General features: G+C 44.7%; 1 protein-coding gene and 1 pseudogene across 1 annotated transcript, besides 2 other annotated features; both read right to left on the bottom strand.

The window, feature by feature from the left end:
- EEF1A1P7 (eukaryotic translation elongation factor 1 alpha 1 pseudogene 7) lies at positions 7406-9547 on the bottom strand (annotated as a pseudogene).
- Positions 8753-8922: an enhancer, noted in NCBI's record as "experimental_51280 CRE fragment used in MPRA reporter constructs". NCBI's record gives its function as "activates a minimal promoter by MPRAs in K562 erythroleukemia cells, with activity observed for both the introgressed and non-introgressed 19:35873724 variant alleles {active_cell/tissue: K562}" and the evidence as "EXISTENCE:reporter gene assay evidence [ECO:0000049][PMID:34662402]".
- Positions 10718-11347: a transcriptional cis regulatory region, noted in NCBI's record as "candidate enhancer chr19.3689 targeted for multiplex CRISPR interference". NCBI's record gives its function as "positively regulates DMKN gene expression with high confidence in K562 cells {active_cell/tissue: K562}" and the evidence as "EXISTENCE:mutant phenotype evidence [ECO:0000015][PMID:30612741]".
- On the bottom strand, positions 18697-20591 carry GPR42 (G protein-coupled receptor 42). Its single transcript, NM_001348195.2, has 2 exons — positions 20541-20591; positions 18697-20310 (listed from the first exon to the last, which is right to left on the bottom strand). The coding sequence occupies exon 2, from the start codon at positions 20297-20299 to the stop codon at positions 19259-19261; it is 1041 nt and encodes a 346-aa protein (NP_001335124.1). The 5' UTR covers positions 20300-20310; positions 20541-20591; the 3' UTR covers positions 18697-19258.
- Positions 20592-23294: the final 2703 nt, after the last annotated feature.

Raw genomic sequence — 23294 nt, 5'->3', positions numbered from 1 at the left:
GGCTCCCAAAGTGCTGGGATTACAGGCATGAGCCACTGTGCCTGGCCCCCTCCTGGTCTTAAAGTTTGAAGCCTGCATTTGTCTTATCTGAGTTCTTGCCACAGGAAATCAACGAATTGAAACTCACCAGATCACTGCATCCAGACAATGAGATGCCAGACCCCTCATCCCTCCTGATTTCCTTATCCCTCCCTAATTCCTTTGACCAACTCCTCTTCCTTACCTCTCCCTAACTCTGGTTTTCCCACATGTAGTTACATTTCTTCCCTGCTGTATAACCCCCTGATTTTAGTTGACTAGGGAGATGGATTTGAGACTGATCCCCATTTTCCTTGGCTAAAGCACTCAATTAAAGCCTTCTTCCCAGGCAGTACTCATTGTCTTGGTGATTGGCTTTCTGTGCAGTGAGCAACGGGACCTAGACTGGAGCCCTGGCATTTCAGTAACAGATTTTGGTTCCCTACCTGGGAACACATTGCTTGTGGCTCAGCTGCTGCAGACTGGGACTTTCAGAAGCCCCCTGTACAGCTGTCTGACCTTTTTTTGGCTGGAGGTGGGTTTCCATCTTTTTCTCTTTGGCTCTGCTGCTGCCAGCCCCAAATGTATTGCTGATTGCCTAGGAAGAACAGACTTTGAAATTTGATATCTGTGTCTGGATGGATGAGTGTCTTTTCTGGGTTCCAGACAGCAGGAAGGGCTCCTCTCAATTTGGGAATTTTCTAAGGAATTTCCATTTGCAGGTTGAATAAGCCCAAATGATGGAGGGAGGAAAGCACCATGACTGTTTCAGTTTGGACACTCTTGGGGCTTGTTAGTGAGAACTAAGCTCTGATTTTTAAAATCTTGCCCAAATTCCTATCTAAGGGGTCTAGAGAAGTCATGCTCTACAAACCATAAATTCTCATCAGATTTTTGTTGTTGTTGTTGAGACAGTCTTACTCTGTTGCCCAGGCTGGAGTGCAATGGTGCGATCTCAGCTCACTGCAACCTCTGCCTCCTGGGTTCAAGCAATTCTCCTGCCTCAGCCTCACGAGTAGCTGGAATTACAGGTGCCTGCCACTACGCCCTGCCAATTTTTGTATTTTTCGTAGAGATGGGGTTTCACCATAATGGCCAGGCTGTTCTCGAACTCCTGACCTCAGGTGATCTGCCTGCCTCAGCCTCCAAAAGTGCAGGGATTACAAGCGTGAGCCACCATGCCCAGCCCAGATGGGTTTTATTTAACTTACATATTGTGACTTACTTTCCAATCTTACTCTGGTATAACATTACACGACAAAGAAGAAAGTCATAATATTTTACCCCAAAACATGTTTCTTTGCCATATTTTGAAATGGCCCTGCAAAGTTGTCCTTTGTGGGGGGGAAATGTGCATCTGTAAAGAATCTCTATTAACATAGCTAGATCTTTTTCTTTCAGGCCCTCCCAATCCTGAAGAGATTAACTAAGAGTCTAGCACCTTTTAAAGGTCTGAATAGGAAACATTTGTCAACTATTGTTTCTAAGGGCAGCCACTGTAAGACTTCAAAAGAACCTTGGTCTCCACAATCTTTTAACCTGAACATTTCCTTTCTATGATCCCAGGTCTTTAGACAAACTCAACCAATTGTCAACCAGAAGATGTTTAAATTTACCTATAGCCTGGAAGCCCCACCCTGCTTTGAGTTGTATCGCCTTTCTGGGCCAAACAAATGTATATCTTAAATGTATTTGATTGATGTCTCATGCCTCCTTAAAATGTATAAAACCAAGCTGCACCCCAACGACCTTGGGCACATGTTCTCAGGACCTCCTGGGGACTGTGTCATGGGCCATGGTCACTCATATTTGGCTCAGAATAAATCTCTTCAAATATTTTACAGAGTTTGACTCTTTTTGTTGACATTAGTAATTGTGTGTGTGCACAACTGCGTCTGGACATGTGAGTGATTTCTGGTGGGTACCAGAGGGCTTCTCTTGATTTGGGAAACTCAGAAGATATTTCTGTTTGCAGATGGAACAAGATCAACTTTTGCACTCTGATAACGCACTGACCCCACCCGAACCCATGACTCATGACTCAACTGGTTCTGTGGTTCCCACCCAGAGGCAGACTCAGTGCACGAGGACCATTTTCCACACCCCTACAGTTTTACCCCCAACCAATTAGCAGAACCCACTCCCTAGGCTTCTGCCCACCAAAGGTTTGGTTTGGCCTTTAAAAACCAACTGAGAGAGGAAGGCACCCCAGCTGTTTTAGTATGGACACACTTGGGGCTTGTTTGTTGCTGTAGCAGTTGAATTGCTTTTGATAATTGTTTGTTTATGTGTGTGTGTGTCAATATAGTTGTGAGAAACGAGAATTTGATCAATGGATATTCTTTTGCAACGCTCTGGCCCCTCCATGGGTCTCATTTTGCTGTTGAATGGGAAAGTGGGATGGAGTTCCATGTATCCAGGTTTTTATGTTGCTGTTCAAAGCCAGGTTGGGCTATAATTGCCTGAAGGATTTTTCTTGCCCACTGCACAGAAAAAAACAATTCACTGAGACCATGATACTGCAGTAGAGAAAGAATTTAATTAACACAGAGCTAGCCAAACAGAAAGACTGGAGTTATCACTCAAATCAGTCTCCCTGAGGATTCAGAAGCTAGGGTTTTTATGGATTATTTGGTGGCAGAGGTCTAGGAGATGGGTGCTGCTGATTAGCTGGGGATAAAACTGTAAGGGTGTAGAAAATTGTTCTTGTGCACTGAGTCTGCCTCTGGGTGGGATCCACAGGACCAGTTGAGTCATGAGTCATGGGTTCAGGTGGGGTCAGTTGGTTGCCAGAGTGCCAAAGTCTGAAAAACATCTCAAAAGACCGATCACGTTCTACAATAGCAATGTTGTCTATAGGAGCAATCGGGGAAGTCACGAATCTTGTGATCTCTGGCCACAAACTCCTGAGCAGTAAGAGATTATTGAAACTATGCCTACATTTTAACAGAATCCAGGCCCCTCCCATAATCCTAATGTTGTGGCCTTTCATTAGTTTTATAAATGTGGCTTCAGTCACTGAGCAAGGAGGGTATAGTTTTAGGGAAAGATTGTTATCATCCTTGCTTCAAAGTTAAACTATAAATTCCTCCAATGGTTAGCTTGGCTTATGCCCAGGAATAATGAGGACAGCCAGCCTGTAAGGCTAGAAGCAAGACGGAGTCAGTCATGCTAGACTTCTCTCACTGTCATCATCTTTGCAAAGGTGGTTTCAAGGCCTTATTAGTACATGATGTTCTTCTGTGGTACTGTTTGGCCTCAGTGTTCTTTGGAGTCTGGGGAGGTTGGGCCTTTAAAAATCAAACTATAGGCTGGGCGTGGTGGCTCATGCCTGTAATCCCAGCACTCTGGGAGGCTGAGGTGGGCAGATCACTTGAGGTCAGGAATTTGAGACCAGCCTGGCCAACATGGTGAAACCCTGTCTCTATTACAAATACAAAAATTAGCTGGATGTGGTGGCAGGCGCCTGTAATCCCAGCTACTTGGGAGGCTAACGCATGAGAATTGTTTGAATCTGGGAGGTGGAGGTTTCAGTGAGCCGAGATCATGCCACTGCACTTCAGCCTGGGCAACAAAGTGAGACTCCATCTCAATAAATAAATAAATAAAAATAAAACTATAGGTCATGCACAGTGGTTCATGCCTATAATCTCAGCGTTTTGAGAGGCCAAAGCAGGAGGATAACTTGAGCTTAGGAGTTTGCAGCCAGGCTAGACGACATAGGAAGATCCTTTCTGTACAAAAAAAATTAAAATATTAGCTGGGCAAGGTGGCATGCGCTTGTAGTCCCAGATATACAGGAGGCTGAGGTGGGAGGATAGCTTGAGCTTGGGAGGTCAGGGCTGCAGTGGGCTGTGGCTGTGATTGCACTACTGCACTCCAGCCTGGGCAGCAGAGCAAGACCCTGTCTCAAAAAATAAAAATAAAATAAAAATAAAACTATCATAGAAAGTGCTTTACTCAAAATTTTGGTTCATAGCCTTCATTGAATTACCTATCAGGGAAAACAAAGTTTACCTGTGTGAGTATGTTTATAAACTGGTGAATTTGTATTGCTATCTCACAGCAAGAATCCCTAGGAAAAGCTATTGGATCTTTTCAAGTACATATGTTCCTGGATGTTATATGTTGTTTTTGCAGGGTACCAAAATTGGCCAGTAAATAAAGGAGCACTCATAAATTAAGTGTATGGGTCCAAGCATTTTTCAAGTTTACGTGACTTAGGTAAATGTTTAATAAATAAGCTGGCTTTAAGATAATCGGTAAAATAAAAATAGAAATGTCTTCTGAATTGTCAGCATACATTTTTGTCTGGGTTTTATCTTTGTCTCTGCTAGATATTTTAAGGTGTCAGAGTTTGGCACAAAAGATTATAAGATTGTAAATCTAGCCAAGAACAAAATGATCTTTGTGTGATTTTTTGATAGGTAAGACTAATTTAATGTTGTTAGTTTAAAAAAGGCAGAGGAATCTTCTGAGTTACGGGTGAAAATACCCATGTGTTTAACTCGAAATTTCTTACTTAGGTGAACACCTGATATTCACAGGTTATAAAAATGGTTAATGAAGAAATAATGACTAGCTTTGTTTAATATCCCAATTTTCATTAGTAGGATAAATTGCTAAAAATGAATGAAATGTAAATGGGATAAATGCAGTAGGGAAATTTTTCATGTAATTTAAAATCTTGAAATTATATTGGGTGTTTATTGGATGTCTGGGACATTTCCAATTCAGAAAGGGTTATGATGTAGGCAAACATGTTTTTAAAAATTGTAGAATTGTCTTGCCAATGCTAACATCTGTTTGGCAGTTCAGGATTTCTTGCTTCCTAGGTTTTCACTAAAATTTAAGATTACTAAGAATAAGAATTCTAGTTAACATATAATTCTGTATGTAAAATGTGCCAAAGAAGATGCGTTCTTATTGAGAATAAGAAAAATTTTGTCTAATTCAGAAGTTATCTAGAGGTTGATTCACATTATGGGCTTGGGAAAGTTATTTATGAAACAAGGTAGAAAGCAAAGGGGAGAGAGATGTGAAGACAGTTATGGATATAAAGATGTGTTTTTGGTAAGGAAGGTTATAAAGAAAATACTTTTGTAGGAGAAAGGATCTTGCATTGTAAATTTCTGTCCTAAAGTAAAATGAGGGGTTATTTAAAATATAAAAAATTTAGGACAGGTGGGGCCCAGTGGCTCATGCCTGTAATTCCAGCACTTTGGGAGGCTAAGGCAGGCAGATCACCTGAGGTCAGGAGTTCGAGACCAGCCTGGCCAACATGGTGAAACCCCGTCTCTACTAAAAATACAAAAATTAGCTGGGCGAAGTGGCACACACCTGCAATGTCAGCTCTTTGGGAGGCTGAGGCAGGAGAATTGCTTGAATCCGGGAGGCAGAGATTGCAGTGAGCCAAGATCATGCCACTGCATTCCAGCCTGGGCAACAGAGCAAGACTCTGTCTCAAAAAATAAATAAATAAATAAATAAATAAATAAATAAATAAATAAATAAAATTAGGACACAACAGGAAGTCCAAGCATGTCATAGATGGTCTATGTAAGTCATACACAGTTTTTTATTTTTTTCTGTTTCTCTAAGTGTCTGTGTTCATGAACATACAGAAAAAACAGGAAGTTGAAAAAGTTTAGTTAATAAGATATTTTTGACTGGACGCAGTGGCTCAGGCCTGTAATCCCAGCAATTTGGGAGGCTGAGGCAAGGGGATCACCTGAGGTCAGGAGTTCAAGGCCAGCCTGGCCAACATGGTAAAAACCCATCTCTACTAAAAATACAAAAATTAGCAGGGCGTGATGGTGGGCACCTGTAGTCCCAGCTACTTGAGGGAGGCTGAGGCAGGAGAATCGCTTGAACCTGGGAGGCAGAGGTTGCAGTGAGCCAAGATCATGCTGCTGCACTCCAGCCTGGATGATAGAGCAAGACTCTGTCTCAAAAAAATAAAATAAAATAAAAATAAAATATTATTTAAAACATGGTGGAAAATTACAGAAATTTGACTAGTTAACATTGTTCATAGTTAAAGCTCTTAGTTGTGATGAAGTTAAAATAAGAAATATTGTGAAGAAATACATTGACAGTTTGGCAATTGTTTTTAATGTAGTTAAGCATGAAGCCAGATTTCGCATGCAGCCCAATTTCACATAAATGCTTGCATTGGTTTGTTTCACTCTGTATTTGCTATTTTGCATAGACGGTACTAGCACTAAGGGACTTACTGGTCATGTGCCTTAGGTGAATTTCTTTTTCTTTTTGTTTTTTAGAGACACAGTTTCACTCTGTCACCCAGGCTGGAGTGCAGTGGCATGATCTTGGCTCACTGCTACCTCTGCCTCCTGGGTTCAAGTGATTCTCCTGCCTCAGCCTCCAGAGTAGCTGGGATTATAGGTGCACACCACCATGCCCAGCTAATTTTTATATTTTTAGTAGAGATGGGGTTTTGCCATGTTGGCCAGGCTGGTCTCAAACTCCTGGCCTCAAGTGATCTGCCCTCCTCAGCCTCCCAAAGTGCTGGGATTACAAGTGTGAGCCACTACACCCGGCCTCAAGTTAATTTTTTAATTGCATAGAATGTATAGTGGTGTTGGTGGATTTAAAGACATTAATTTGTGTACCAGGAACAAAATATCCATGGTGTTTTTGTTTGTTTGTTTATAGGCTCTGGGTAACACTGTAGCTTCCAAGGTGAAGTAAATAGGAGGTCGAGTGTGGTGGCTCATGCTTGTAATTACAGTACTTTTGGAGGCTGAGATGGGAGGATCAGTTGAGCCTAAGAGTTTGAGATCAGCCTCTGCAACATAGTGACATCCTGTCTCTACAAAAAATTTAAAAATTAGCCAGGCATGGTGACATGGATGAAGCTCAGTTACATTGTGCTGAATGAAAGAAGTCAGCTAGCCGGGTGCGGTGGCTCATGCCTGTAATCCCAGCACTTTGGGAGGCTGAGGTGGGCATATCACCTGAGGTCAGGAGTTTGAGACCAGCCTGGCCAACATGGTGAAACCCTGTCTCTACTAAAAATACAAAAATTAGCCAGGCATGATGGCGCATGCCTATAATTCCAGTTACTCGGGAGGCTGAGGCAGAAGAATTGCTTGAACCTGGGAGGCAGAGGTTGCAGTGAGCTGAGATTGCACCATTGCACTCCAGCCTGGGCATTGCAGTGAGATTCTGTCTCAAAAAAATAAATAAATAAATAAAATAAATAAAAAGAAGCCAGCTCAAAAGGTTACACACTGTAGGATTCTGTTTATGTGACTTTCTTTTTTTTTTTTTCTCATTAAACTTTTTTAATGGGTCTCAAAATTCTGTGACAAATTTTTGGTCAAGTTGCTTCCATTAAAAAGCACTGATTTTAAACACTAATAAATTAAAACTGCCACATGCAAAAGAGAAAACCAAAGTGGTCCACAAAACATTCTCCTTTCCTTCTGAAAGTTTTACTATGCATTGTTATCATTAACCAGTCTTTTACTACTAAACTTAAATAGCCAACTGAAACAAACAGTTCTAAGACCATTCTTCCACCACTGCTTAATACCAGGGTGGCAGGTATTAGGGATAATATTCATTTAGCCTTCTGAGCTTTCTGGGGATACTTGGTGACCTTGCCAGCTCCAGCTGCCTTCTTGTCCGCTGCTTTGATGACACCCAGTGCAACTGTCTGTCTCATATCACAAGCAGCAAAGCAACCCAGAGGTGGATAGTCTGAGAAGCTCTCAACACACATGGGCTTACCAGGAACCATATCAATGATGGCAACATCACCAGATTTCAAGAATTTAGGGCCGTCTTCCAGCTTTTTACCAGAAGAGCGATCAATCTTTTCCTTCAGCTCAGCAAACTTGCATGCAATGTGAGCCATGTGGCAATCTAGTACAGGGGCATAGCCAGCACTGACTTGGCCTGGATGGTTCAGGATAGATCACCTGAGCAGTGAATCCAGCTGCTTCCATTGGTGGGTCATTTTTGCAGTTACCAGCATTGTTACTACAATGAATATCCTTGACAGACACATTCTTGACATGGAAGCCCACATTGTCCCCAGAAAAAGCTTCACTCAAAGCTTCATGGTGCATTTTGACAGATTTTACTTCAGTTGTAGTGTTGACTGGAGCAAAGGTGATCACCACACCAGGTTTGAGAGCAACAGTCTCCACTTGGCCATCAGGAACAGTACCAATACCACCAATTTTGTAGACATCCTGGAGAAGCAGGGCTTGTCAGTTGGACGAGTTGGTGGTAGGATGCAGTCCAGAGCCTCAAGCAGTATGGTTCCACTGGCATTGCCATCCTTACGGGTGACTTTCCATCCCTTGAACCAAGGCATGTTAGCACTTGGCTCCAGCATGTTGTCACTATTCCAACCAGAAATTGGCACAAATGCTACTGTGTCAGGGTTGTAGCCAATTTTCTTAATATAGTGCTGACTTCCTTAATGATTTCCTCATATCTCTTCTGGTTGTAGGGTGGCTCAATAAAATCCATTTTGTTAACACCAGTGATTAGTTATTTCACACCCAATGTGTAAGCCAGAAGGGCATGCTCTCAGGTCTGCCAGTTCTTGGAGATACCAGCTTCAAATTCACCAACACCAGCAGCAACAACCAGGACAGCACAGTCAGCCTGAGATGTCCCTGTAAAGATGTTTGTGATGAAGTCTCTGTGTCCTGGGATATACCAGGACGAGTCACAGACAAAACTCCTCAGACACCGGATTAAAGAAGGAAGAAGTTTTTATTCGGCCGGGAGCGTCGGCAGACTCGCGTCTTAAGAGCCAAACTCCCCAAAAAAGAAATTCCTAGCCCTTTTAAGGGCTTACAACTCTAAGGGGTCCATGTGAAAGGGTCATAATAGATCAAGTAAGCATGAGGAACGTGACTGGGGGCTACATACATCAGCTAACAGAACAAAAAGTTTTACAGTGCTTTCTCATACAATGTCTGGAATTTACAGATAACACCAGTAGTTTTGGTCAGGGGTTAATATTATTATTATTATTTTAACCACCAGGGCCAGGTGGTGGCACCAAAGTCGTCTAGCTATTTATCTTACTTTTGTTTCTTTCCAACTTTTTGCTTTCTCCCTTTTCTCCTGTCTTATAAACTAGGGAAAAGGGAAGGTTGGGTAGAAGCTGGGAAGGACAACAGGAGAAGTGGTGGTCTCATTCCTTAGGGGCATTAATGATAGTCATTCAGTACTTGCTGGTCTCAAATTTCCACAAGGAGGTATCAATGGTGATACCACATTCACGCTCAGCTTTCAGTTTATCCAAGACCCAGGCTTACTTGAAGGAGCCCTTTCCCATCTCAGCAGCCTTCTTCTCAAATTTCTTAATGCTTCTTTTGTTGATGCCACCACATTTGTAGATCAGATGGCCAGTAGAGGTGGACTTGCCCGAATCTATGTGTCCATTGACGACAATGTTGATATGAGTCTTCTCCTTTCCCATTTTGGCTTTTAGGGGTAGTTTCCATGACACCTGTGTTCTGTTGCAAACCTGTTGCGAAAAGCTATGTGACATTCTTGAGAAGATAAAACCCTAATGATAGCAGATCTGTGTTTCGTAGTGGCTAGGGGTGAAGGGAAGATGTGACTATCGTTGCTCTTTATCTTGATTTTGTTGGTGGTTACGGGAATCTCTCTGTCTGTTTGATTCACAGAACTGTACACCTTTTCCTGAAAACATTCATTTTATTGTATGATCATTTTAAAAATTAAAAAAAGAATCAAATCTCTAAAAAAAGAAAGAATGGGCTGGGCATGGTGGCTCATGCCTGTAATCCCAGCAATTTGGGAGGCTGAGGCTGGCAGATTGCTTTAGCCCAGGAGTTCAAGACCAGCCTGGACAACATGGCGAAGCCCCATCTCTAGTAAAAATACAAAAGTTAGCCAGGCATAGTGGTGCATGCCTGTAATCACAGCTACTCAGGAGGCTGAGGCAGGAAAATCGCTTGAACACAGGAGGTGGAGGTTGCAGTGAGCTGAGATTGTGCCACTGCCCTCCAGCCTGGGTGACAGAGTGACTCTGTTTAAAAAAAAAAAAGGAATGAATGAATGAATTAATGAATGACATCTGGGTTTCTGATGTGGGCAGACCGTGGGTGGTATTGCCATTTATAGAGGTGGAGTAGGCTGGGTGGTGGGGCCAGATTAGGAAGACGAAGTAAGGAGTTAGGTTTGGTCTTGAAAGTCTAGAAGTTGAGATGTCTCTCTATACAGTTGGATACACAAGGGTCTGGTGCTGGAGATGTGGGAGTCATGAATGTTAACAGCCATTGTGATGGATCAGAATGCCTGCAGACAGGAGAGAGAAAACGAACAAAGGCAGGCAGGGTCCGAGCCTGAGGAACACCTGCCTTCAGTGCCAGTTGGGAGGGGGAGTTGGGAGGAGAAGGAAGGAGAGCCAGCATCAGTCCTCGGAGCTTCCCTCCCTGCCTTGCCTGTGGCCTCCAAGATCTTTTTGTGGATGAGGGTGACAGCTTTCAGAGAACAGCTGTAGGGGCAGGGAGGGACTGCAAAATAAGAACGAGGGATGAGGAAGAACATCTTCCGACGTTCTTGTCAACTGCCTGTCTTGGGTTCTGAGTAAAAGTATGGGCCGTGCTTACGTGCAGAATCACACTTCTTCATGCTCCTTCCCCTTCCCTCCCGACCTCTGAGCCCTCCTCTGCCTCCACTGCTGCAGAGGTCACAGGCTGGAAACCTAGAAAGCAGTCCACAACCCTCAGGCCTGATTCACTTTCCCCACATAGATACTTAAACATTTTGAATTTGTTATCAGTTTTTTAAAAATGTAAGATTTCAAAAACAGCAATGACAATTGGATTTTCAGCTTGGAAAATTGGAAGGTATGACAGAGCTGCCCCCACAGCCCCATGTGGTGACAGGAGGTGAAATGAACCATTGCACTGTCCAGTTGCCGCCCTTTCCACCACGCCCTGCAGATCTCCAGCACCAAGATAAAAGCTGGTTGCCACGTATCATTTGTTTGCACATGGTTTCTACACTTTTATGTAACCTGGGTTATCATCCAGCAGTCACAGCCTCTGCAGAGCAGCCCAGCAAAAGCAGAGACTTGCTTGGCTGGAGGAAACTTAGCAAGATTGATATTAGGTACACAAACACTACAAGCCAGGAGGTGAGGTGACACCATTTTTTAAAAACAACATTATTGAGGCTTCATTGACACACCATGAAATGCACCCACTGGACGGAGAGAGTTCAATAAGTTTTGACTTCTTGTGTGACCCTCACTGCAATCAAGTGATCTAACATTTCCATCACCTGAAAATGTCCCTCTGTTATCTTCCCAGTCAACACCCTCCTCTCTCCCATCCCCAGCCCCTGGTAACTACTGGTCTGCTTTTTGTCAGAGGCTACATTGTGAGTCAAAAGGTTAGCTGGAAAAGCTGTAAGCAGAAGGGTTCACTGCAGAGTGAACAAACAGACCAGCAAGTGTGGGCCAGGGAAGAAGTCTGCAGGCCTGCAACGGCTGGGGATGCCTGGAAGTGCTCCTGCAAGTCATTGGATTGTTCACCAAAGGATACACAAACAAGGAGTTATTTTTATGGAGGCTTTAAGAGAGCATTCTAGACTGTTTAAAAAAAAGATGAGAGTAATGCTCTAAGCATAGAGAACCACTGGAAATTATCAAGGCTAGGTGCACTGGCTCATCCCTGTCATGCCAGCACTTTGGGAGGCCAAGGTGGGAGGATCGCTTGAGCCCAGGAGTTCCAGACCAGTCTGGGCCACATAGCGAGACCCCATCTCTACAGTTTTTTTTTTTTTTTAATTAGCCAGGCATGGTGGCATGCACCTATAGTCTCAGCTACTTGGGAGGCTGAGGCGGGAGGATTGCTTGAGCCTGAGAAGTTGAGGCTGCAGTCAGCCATGATTGCGTAACTGCACTCCAGCCTGGGTGACAGAGCCAGACCCTGTCACAGAAAAAAAAAAAAAGAAACAAAAAAAAAAAAAAAAGGGGAGGGGAGGGAAAAGGGAATCATCTAATTGTGTGTGTTAATTTTAAGTAGTAAATTAGGCATCCAAGACCGCATATCCCCATCTTCATGTGGGCATTGTGTGTGTTTGAGTGACTCCACAGGCACAAGGACTGGGTAGCTGTCCTGTGCCCAAGAACACTGAACAGAGACAAGTACTTTTCCACAGGATAACATCGCTCATGGTCCACATCAAGAAAGAGAGGTCTTTCAGCCCTCTCTTGTTTCCATGGCATCCAAGAGCCCTTAGTAAGTATGAGAATTTTTTTTTTTTTGAAATAGTCTCACTCTGTTGCCCAGGCTGGAAGGCAGTGGCATGATCTTGGCTCACTGCAACCTCCATCTCTTGGGTTCAAGCAATTCTCCTGCCTCAGCCTCCCAAGTAGCTGGGATTACAGGCCTGTGCCACCACACCCAGCTAATTTTTGTATTTTTAGTAGAGACAGGTTTTTGCCATGTTGGCTAGGCTGGTCTCGATCTCCTGACCTCAGGTGATCTGCTCAAGTATGAGAATTTTTATTAATAAAAGTGCAGGCTTGCAATTAAGATTGTCAGTCAGATGAACATTTTACCTTAAAAAGGTCCCATCTAGCACGTGTGTTTTTTTGTCTTGGAAAGCAATGTTCATGCAGCCCCAGCCAGTCAGCTCTCAAAAGCCTTCTTCTGAATGAGGAGAGTCCAGACATCTTGGTGCTAGAGCTAGTGTCTAGAACTGTAAGACATCTCCTGAGTTCAGCTGTAACAAATAAGGCAAATGCTAACATCACATAGCTCCTATAAGGCAAATAGGCAGAGTTTAGAAACTCCAGGAACCTAAAATATTTTAACGTGAGAGAAGATGTCAATGGGTAGGTTCTAGTAGGATATAAGCTGATCTATTATGTTAAGCTGCAAGTTAGAGGGTATCTGGCCAATAGTGAGTCAACAAAAGGAACATTTACTACAGTGACTTTGGAGGTTGGTGGTCCCACCTCAACAGGGTCAAGGACGCAGGCCCTTTACATCCTGCTGCTCTGCTGTCCTTAGCTTGTTTGCTTTCTTCCTCAAGTTTGTAACCTCATGGCCCCAATATGGCTGCTGTAGCTCCAAGTATCACATCCTTCCATAGAAAGTTCCAGATTAGAAGTAGGAGCGCAGCTCCTTACACATCTATTTTTTTAATGAGATAGAGAAAAATCTTTCCCAGAGGCCCCCAGCAGACTTATTTCCCTTTGTTGGCTGGAATTGGGTCACACTTCCATCTTAGGACCAGTCACCAGTAAAGGCGGTCAACAGCATCATGATTAGTGCCAATCACAATTTGACCCTTGAGACTGGGGGATCTGCAACAGGGGATGATTGATTGGGTTATCTCACTATACTCTTCTTTTAATTTTAATTTTAATTTTAATTTTCTTTGAGAAAGTGTCTCACTTTATCACTCAGGCTGGAGTGCAGTGGCCTGATCATGGCTCACTGCAGCCTCGACCTCCCAAAGTTCAGGTGATCCTCCTACCTCAGCCCCCCAAGTAGCTGGGACTACAGGTATGCACCAACATACTCCTCTAATTTTTGTATTTTTAGTAGAGACAGGGTTTAGCCATGTTGCCCAGGCTGGTCTGGAACTCCTGGGCTCAAGCTATCCACCTGCCTCAGACTCCCAAAGTGCTGGCATTATGGGCATGAGCCACCATATCCAGCCACTATATTCTTCTAAATCCATTAAAAGCACCCTCTCCTCAAAAAATATTTCCGTATCCCATTTCCTCTTTCACAACATTTTCTCTCTGCTAGCTCCACCCTGGCTCCCATGGGAGGTGAGCTCTGCCCTTCCCCACTTCTACCAGTGTTGATCAGCTTTCTTCTTCTTCTTCTTCTTTTTTTTTTTTTTTTTTTTTTGAGATGGAGTTTTCTCTCTTGTTGCCCAGGCTGGAGAGCAGTGCTGCAATCTCAGCTCACTGTAACTTTGCAACCTCACAACCTCTGCTTACCAGGTTCAAGCGATTCTCCTGCCTCAGCCTCCTGAGTAGCTGGGATTACAGGCACACGCCACCATGCCCGGCTAATTTTTGTATTTTTAGTAGAGACGGGGTTTCACCATGCTGGCCAGGCTGGTCTTGAGCTTCTGACCTCAGGTGATCTGCCTGCCTCAGCCTCCCAAAGTGCTGGGATTACAGGTGTGAGCCACCGCACCCAGCCATGTTGATCAGCTTTCATTCCTTCTATCCCATCTTTTCTCTGGAATGTGATCCCAGCAACATTTTCCCAGAACACAGGCTGCTGCTTTGATATTTTGATTTGCCTCCATATGAATGGCTTTTCAGAACTGGCCTCAGAGGAAAGTCAGAAGGCTTCCCACAGATGTTAATGAAGTTTTGGGAACCACAACCACCAGTATCTCTTGGGGACTTTTTACTGTTGTTTTCTAAACCAGAAGAGTCATGTCCTCAGAGAGGAAGGTCAAAAGTTGAGCACCTTCTCACACTATTCTCCCCCAATAAAAACCTCTGTCTCCTACTTGTAATTCCCAGAAACGGTGGTCTCACTTTTCTTCCAGGTGTCTTTGAGCTTTTATCGATGCTCAGCTTCATTTTTTTGGAAGAGTCCCGCAACTTATTTTGTAGACTCCCAGGCTTCTTGCTCTCCTTGTCTGGTCTTTGTTTCCCTTCTGATGTAGGGCAGATGAGCCCTAAATAGGGGTTTAGCCTGGGAAGGTTCTTGGCTTTGCCCAGAACCCAGAATTTATTTATTTAATTTTTAAATTTTTATTTTTTTTTTGAGATGGTGTGTCACTCTGTCACCCAGACTGGAGCGCAGTGGTGTAATTTTAGCTCACTACAACCTCCGCCTCCTGGGTTCAAGCAATTATCCTGCCTCAGCCTCCTGAGTAGCTGGGATTACACGTGCGGGCCACTACGCCTGGCTAAATTTTGTATTTTTTAGTAGGGACTGGGTTTCACCAAGTTGCCCAGGCTGGTCTCGAACTCCTGATCACAAATGATCTGCCTGCCTCAGCCTCCCAAAGTGCTGGGATTACAGGTGTGAGCCACTGCACCCAGCTCACCCAGGAAAGAATTTAAAGGCTAGCCAGTGGTAGAAGAAAGTGGTTTTATTAAAGTGATGGTGGTATAGTTCTGGCAGTGCAACAGCTCTGTGACTGCCCCTGCAGAGCAGGGCTACCCCATAGCAATGTGCTAAGAGTAGCCGCTTAGGGCAGTTTTGCATTCATATTTATATCTATTTTTCATTACATGCAGATTAAGGGGCGGTTAATGCCCAAAGTTTTAGAAAAAGGGTGGTAATTACCAGCTGTTGCTATGACCATGGTAAACTGACAGGGGACACTGGTGGGCATGTCCTATGGGAAGTCGCTTAAGCTCCGTCCTTGTTTCCCTGTTTTAGCTAGTCCTCAATTTGGTCCAGTGTCTGAGCCCCACCTCCAAAGTCAAGTCCAGCCTCCTACCTCCCTTCCACCTCCGCCGGCCCTGACCAGGTCTATGTCTGCCCCCTCCCAGCTGAACCCAGTTGAAGCCGGCTGACGGATCCTGTCTTGCAGCACAGCTTCCCATGCCCCACCAGGCATATGCACAGCCTGAGAGGCCACTTACTGCACTCTCTAGTGGATACATGTTTAACTCATAAAAAGGCACTGGCATCCTGTCTCCCAGTGGGGAATTCCTGCTCTCTCTCCTGTCTGCCACTGCCACTGGTTTACTGAGTAGTCTGAGCGTACTGGGCTCAAGCCTGCAATGGTCTCACTGCCTTCCATGGGATGGATTGAACCATCTTTGTCAGTTTCTTAGGTGGCTTCCAAAGGTTTCTGGTCACGCTTGGTGATTTATACATTTCTTTCTTTTCTTTTCCTTTCTTTCTCTCTTTCTTTCTCTCTCTTTCCCTTCCTTCCTTCCTTCCTTTCTTTCTTTTTTCTTTCCTCTCTTTCCTTTTTCTTTTTTTTCTTTCAGGGTCTTGCTCTGTTACCCAGGCTGGAGTGCAGTGGTACAATCACGGCTCACTGTAGCCTCGACCTCCTCCTGGGCTCAAGCGATCTTCCCGCACTCTTGGTGATTTACTCATTTCTTTTCTTTTCTTTTCTTCCTTTCCTTTCCTTTCTTTCCTCTTTCTTTCTTTCTCTTTCTTTCTTTCTTTCTTTCTTTCTTTCTTTCTTTCTTTCTTTCTTTCTTTCCTTCTTTCCTTTTCTTTCTTTCTCTCTTTCTTTCTTCCTTTCTTCTTTCCTTTTTTTTTTTTTTTCAGGGTCTTGCTCTGTTACCCAGGCTGGAGTGCAGTGGTACAATCACGGCTCACTGTAGCCTCGACCTCCTGGGTTCAAGCGATCTTCCTGCCTCAGCCTCATGAGCAGCTGGGACTATGGGCACATGCCACTATGCCCGACTAACTTTTTTTCTTAGATTACGGAGTCTTGCTTCAAGCAGTCCTCCCACTTCAGCCTCTCAAGGCACTGAGATTACAGGCGTGAGTCATCGCACCCAACCAACACTGGGTGATTTAAAATTTCTTGTTTCCTCTCACTCCCCTGTAAGCTGAGACTTGACCTATGGCCTCAGGAAGCTGTAGCCGAGATGGGTTGAATCTTCCCTTCCTCTTGTCCTTCTGGGTTGACCTGCCCTTGGTTTCGGTGAAGGAGGATCTCTCCTTCTAAAAAAGTTTCTCTTGTAAACCTTTAAAAACTTGTTTTGCTAATTAACAAAAGGATATTGCTAAGAAACCTTGTTCTCAAAAGTCAAAGATAGTCAGAAACTTAGCTGCATGAGATCATGAGTAAGAAAGGAACATATACTTCTGCTTAGAGGATCAGAGTCTCTGACACAGAGATGCAACCTTGATTTTCAACCCACCAGAGCTTCAGATAAGGAGTTTTCCAATACGAAGTTCTACCTTTATCTTTGCTTGGTATTTTCCAGAGAAACAGGACCTTGAGTAATCTTCCTGGCCTCCATCTAACACTGGCCTCTTTCCACACATCCCTGCTTTGTGTTGAGCCTATCACACACCTCTTCATCTAAATTCACGCTACTCTTAGCTCAAATTCGATGATAACTGGGTCTCTTCTCTTGTACGAGACCTCACACTTCTTCCGTAGTGTGATCTCCATTCCTGCAGCAAGGTCCTCAGCCTAATTTTGTTGGGCTACAGTTCTGTGAGACAGGCTCTATCAGTATATTAGATGGGACCATTTCTGCAGCTCAGACATTCTCAGCAGCAGCAATGTTGATCCCAAATAGGTGAAAACTAGTTCTTGGGGAACAACAACAACAAAAAATCTCACAATGGTTTGTGGCTTTCTTTTCCTTCTTTTCTTTCTTTCTTTCTTTCTCTCTCTTTCTTTCCTTCTTTCTCTCTTTCTTTCTTTCTCTCTCTTTCCTTCTTTCTTTCTTTCCTTCCTTCTTTCTTTCTCTCTCTCTCTCTTTCCTTCTTTCTCTCTTTCTTTCTCTCTTTCTTTCTTTCCTTCCTTCTTTCTTTCTTTCTCTCTCTCTCTTTCTTTCCTTCTTTCTCTCTTTCTTTCTTTCTCTCTTTCCTTCCTTCTTTCTTTTCCTTCCTTCCTTCCTTCCTTCCTTCCTTCCTTCCTTCCTTCCTTCCTTCCTTCCTTCCTTCCTTCTGTTTTTTGAGACAGAGTCTCACTCTGTCACCCAGGCTGGAGTGCAGTGGTGTAATCTCGGCTCACTGCAACCTCTGCCTCCTGGCCTCAAGTGATTGTCCTGCCTCAGCCTCCCAAGAAGCTGGGTTTACAGGTGCATGCTGCCATATGCGGCTAATATTTGTACTTTTAGTAGAGACAAAGTTTCACCATGTTGGCCAGGCTGGTCTCAAACTCCTGACCTCAAGTGATTCTCTTGCCTCGGCATCCCAAAGTGCTGGGATTATAGGCATGAGCCACTGCGCCCAGCCAGTTTCTGTCTTTGTAAAGGGCCACAACACATAAACCGACAGTGTGTTGGTTGCACTGAAATTGCATAAGCAGGCAGAGGAATGTGCTGTGTAGGAAAGATGTATATCCAAAGAGGCTTCTGAAGGGGACAAGGATGTAAAAAGTTGAAGAGATCCTGCATTAGCTAAGATCGAGGAGCATCGGGTGCCCACTGTGAGTCACCTGCCCAATCATTGACTCCAAGTATCGTAATCTATACTTTTCAAGAAGTCTTCTTTACTGGGGAGAGGATGCACTCACACAGATACTCACTGTGCTTTGCATTTACTTCTGTTCCTTATCACAGCCTGTTTGCATTTGTCCTGCTCAGACAGCCTCATCTGACTGGGCCAGGTGACCACAGGTGACACACAGATGGAGAACAGCAGAGTGGCTTAGGGGCATGGGTGTCAGAGTCAACTGACACCAGCTTCTGGTCCCACTTCAATCGCCCACCAGCTATGGGATCTCGGGTAGGAGATGTCACCTCTCTGGGCCACTCCTTCATCTGAAACTGGGGATAATGCTGGTACCTCTCACAGGGCTATTGAGAGATAGAAGGAGATGATGTGTCAGGCCAAGTCCTTTAGACAGGGCAGCTGTTATTTTCATCCCTGCAAGCCAGATCCTCTCCCAGCATCCAGGCATCCTGGTGTTTGGCCCTTTTCCTCCAGAGTCTGGTGTTTTCTCCTTCCATCCACCAGTCCCACCCGGCCCAAGCACACCACCAGAACAAAACAGGAGAAGAAGGAAACACTGTTCTCTTTTGCTTGCTTCCACATTTATTTGGGTAATTTTTCTTCTGTCATTGTTCATAAATGTCTCTGATGATCCACATTTATTGAGCAATGGGAACTTTCTGGAAAAGGCACTGTGGGAGCAGAATGCGGCCTCATCCCTGGAGCCCTGTCTCCCCCGCTCCTGACTCGCTGGCTGGGAGCAGCTCTGAGGATGGGGTTCTCCCCTCTCCTGCCCCTGCCACTCACTGGGCAGCCCCCTCAGACCTGGGCACTGCTCTTAGCTCCTCTGCCACCCTCAAGAAAACACAGGAGCTGCCTGCTGCTATGAGGACCTCATTGTTCTCCAGAGCAGCCTCTCACCCTGACCCCTTCCCAGAGCCCAATCCATAGTGTGTGGGTGGATGGGGATGGAGGTGAGATCGAGAGCTGGGCTTTAGCGCGCATACCCTTAGGGAGGCTAGATGTCTACTCTGCCCCCAAGCCCCATCGGGCCCCAGCTCGCCACTCCAAGTCCCTCCTGGCGTGAGCGAGGAAGCGCCCTGAGGATGACACGCCAGCTACACCCTCCTCCCCCGGAGGACCTAGTTTTCAGCACAGGCCACCTGGCCACCAGTTCCACAGCCCTGTGAGTGTTCACTGGTCTTTCTTTCAGCTGGTCGGTCCGCTCTCTGCTCCTCCCCTCCCTTCTGCTCCTTCAGCTCCATGCTGCTCTCCTGCTGCCACTGGCCCCAGAGCCCACACAACCTCCTCAGCAGCTCATGAAAGTCGGCTTGGAACCCGGAGGAGGAGAAGTAGTAGACAAAGGGGTCGACACAGGAGTTCAGGGTGCTGAGAAGCGTCACGTAGATCCTCCACACCGGGCTTTCACCGCAGATATAGCCCACGACATGGGACACGTTGTAGGGCCCAAAGCAGACAAGGAAGTTGAGCAGCGTGGCCGCCACCAGCCCCGCCACCCTCCTCTGCCGGCGGTGGCTGCCCCCTCTGCCGAGGATCCACACCAGGCGGCTGTAGCAGTAGCTGGTGATGATCAGCGGGACCACAAAGAGGACCACAGCCATCTCCAGCCGCACGGGCAGGAGGATGGCTAGCTGGTCCTTCCAGAACTCCAGGTAGCAGGTCCCATTGGTGCCCTGGCTGTGGGAGATGTCCCCTGAGAATTCTATGACGTAGACCACGCTGCAGTGAGCAGAGGCCAACAGCCAGCAGGCCACACTCACCAGACCTGCCTGCCCCAGCCTCGGCCGGGTCTTGTACCACAGTGGGTGGGCCACACTCAGGAAGCGTTCAATGCTCACAGCTGCCAGGAAGAGGGCGGTGAGATAGATGGTGGTGAAGAAGATGAATCCAGAGAGTGGGCAGAGGATGAAGGGCAGGGGCCAGTGCATGCCATTGGCTGCCTCCACCATGCGGAAAGGCAGGAACAGCAGCAGGAGCAGGTCCGAGGCGGTCAGGTTGAGCAGGAGCACGTCCACGGCCACCGGGCGGCACCGCAGCTTGCCCACGAAGACCACCAGGGCCAGCAGGTTGAGGGGGAGCCCCACCAGGAAAGTGAGAAGGTACACCGAGAAGACGAACCAGTGATTGCCGGAGAAGTAGGACTGGTCGGGGCCTGTATCCATGGTGGTGGCCACTGGTGAGAGAGAGTAACATGGAGTTGGTAGTGGGGGCCCTAACGGCCTCTGGCCAGCAGCATCTCCCCTAAAAGGGCACGAGGTCACTACGCCCACCCCTCTTGTCTCTGGGTGCCTTCCAGGCGGGGTCAGCCTGCCTGTCTTCCTGAGCATGCCCTGTCCCCTGTCCCTTCCCCAGCAGAGAAGCACCAAGGTGCTCCTCCACCCAGCCCCTCGGGCCCAGGCTCACCTGCTTCTTTGAGACCCCAAATGCTCTGCCGCACAGCACCTTGCTGTCTCTCCAGACCTAGTGCAGTTGGCTATTTATCCGGCAGAACTGATAAAGACCTGGCCGTGCCCATGACATCACTCACTGTTGAGCAGTGGCACAAAGATGCCTTGAGCTCCGTTGCCAGGGCTGGTCAGTATGCAAAAAGGGGAACAAATTCCACAACTGCGTGCCTCCCTCCTTGCGCAGCCTCAGCTGGGATGCTCCAAACAGGCCCCAGCTGACGTCTTCTTCCCCTCCCCTCTCTTCCACTTGAATTTTGTCTGATTCTCTAGAATGGCACTTATCCAGTTTGCCTTTTAAGGGCACAAAGCATGAGCCAGTGACAGACTGGACTCCGTGAGGTCTGTTCCTTCCTGACTTTGTGATGTGGGGGAAGAGATGTGTCTCTTCTTCCTCCCCTACAGAACAGGGATTGTCATAGTACCTGTACCATATTTCAAAGCATGAACACATGCAGATTAAAACATATATACAGGTAGATTAAAATGTTAATAATATAGGTCAATTGCTTTTTGAAAATATTTATTTTAGATTCGGGAGCACATGTGCAGGTTTGTTACATGGGTATATTGCATAATACTGAGGTTTGGGCTTCTATTGAACCCATTACCAAAATTGTGAACATAGTACCCAATAGGCAGTTTTCCCACCCTTGTCCTCCGCCCTCCCTCCCCCACTTTGGAGTCCCCACTGTCTATGGTTTCCATCTTTAATGTTTGCGTGTACCCATTGTTTACCTCCCACTTAAAAGTGAGAACATACAGCATTTGATTTTCTGTTTCTGTGTTAATTCACTTAGGATCATTCACTTAGGCCTCCAGCTGCATTTATGTTGCAGCAAAGGACATGATTTCATTCTTTTTTATAGCTGCATAGTATTTCGTGATGTGTATGTACCATTTTTTCTTTATCTAGTCCACCATTGATGGGCACCTAAGTTGATTCCATCACTTTGCCATTGTGAATAGTGCTGTGACAAACATACACATGCAGGTGTCTTTTTGGTAGAATGATTCCATTTTATGAAAAATGACATTGATAATTTGGTAGGAATTGGGTGGAATCTGTAGATTGCTTTGAGCAGTATGGACATTTTAATGATATTGATTCTTCTAATCCATGAACATGGAATGTTTTTCATTTATTTGTGTTTTTTAGTTCTCCTTGTAGAGATCTTTCACTTTCACTTCCTTGGTTAGATGTATTCCTAGGTATTTTATTTTTGTGTGTGGCTATTGTAATTGGGATTCTGTTCTTTATTTGGCTCACAGCTTGACAATTGTTGGTATATAGTAATGCTACTGATTTTTATACACTGATTTTGCATCCTGAAACTGCCAGTCATTTATCAGGTCTAGGAGTATTTTGGAGGAATCTGTAGGGTTTTCTAGGTATAGAATCATATCATCAGTGAACAGAGATAATTTGACTTCCCCTTTCTATTTGGATGCCTTTTATTCCTTTTTCTTGCCTGATTGCTCTGGCTAGGACTTCCACTACTATGTTGAATAGGAGTAGTGGGAGTAGGCATCCCTGTCTTTTTCCATTTCTTAGGGGGAATGCTTCCAACGTTTGCCCATTCAGTATGATGTTGGCTGTGAGTTTGTCCTGGATGGCTCTTATTATTTTGAGGTGTGTTCCTTCGATGTTTAGTTTTTTGAGGGTTTTTATCATGAAGGGATGTTGGATTTTATTATATGTTTTTTTCTGCATCTATTGAGATGATCATATAATTTTTGTTTTTAATTTTATGTGGTGAGTCACATTTATTGATTTGCATATATTGAAACATCTTTGCATCCCAGGAATAAAGCCCACTTGATCATGCTGAATTATGATTTTGTCATGCTGCTGGATTTGGTTTGCTAGTATTTTATTGAGGATTTTTGGATCTATGTTCATCGGGCTATTGGCCTACAGTTTTCTTTTTTCACTGTGTCCTGCCAGATTACGATATCAGAATCAGACTGTTTTTGTAGAATGAGTAGGGAATCTCTCCTCCTCAATTTTCTGGTAAAGTTTCAGTAGGATTGGTACCATCTCTTCTTTGCAGGTCTGGTAGAGTTTGGCTGTGAATCCATCTGGTCAAGGGCTTTTTAAAGGTGGTAGATATTTTATTACTGATTCAATTTTGTAACTCATTATTGGTCTGCTCAGAGTTTCAATTTCTTTCTGGTTCAATCTTGGTTGTATGTTTCCAGAAATTTATTTGTTTCCTCTAGATTTTCTGATTCATGTGAATATAGATGTTCATCGCAGTCTCTGAGGATCTTTTGTATTTCTGTGGAATTAGTTGTAATCTTGTCTGTGTTATTTCTGATTGTGCTTTTTTGGAGGTTTTTTTTTTTCCTTTGTTAATCTAGCTTGCAGCCTATAAATCTTGTTTATTCTTTCAAAGAACCAATTTTTCATTTCATTGATCCTTTGAATGGCTTATTTGTCACAATTTCGTTTAGCTCTACTCTGATTTTAGTTATTTCTTTTCTTCTGCTAGCTTTGGATTTAGTTTGCTCTTGTTTTTCTAGTTCCTTCAGGTGTAATGTTAGGTTATTAATTTGAGATCTTTCTAACTTCTTGATGTAGGCATTTAGTGATATAAAATTTCCTCTTAAAACTGCTTTTGCTGTATCCCAGAGGTTTTGGTATGTTGTGCCTCTATTTTCAGTTGTTTCAAAGAAGTTTTTGACTTCTGCCTTAATTTTTTGACTTCTT

The sequence above is a fragment of the Homo sapiens genome, chromosome 19 (genome assembly GCF_000001405.40).
Source record: "Homo sapiens chromosome 19, GRCh38.p14 Primary Assembly".
Lineage (NCBI taxonomy): Eukaryota > Metazoa > Chordata > Mammalia > Primates > Hominidae > Homo > Homo sapiens.
Note: the sequence above shows the minus strand (reverse complement) of the source record. Positions and strands in the feature narration are given on the sequence as shown.

Bases quoted from the DNA above. Each gene is read 5' to 3' on its own strand.
- GPR42 (NM_001348195.2), bottom strand. From the start codon at position 20,299: ATGGATACAGGCCCCGACCAGTCCTACTTCTCCGGCAATCACTGGTTC.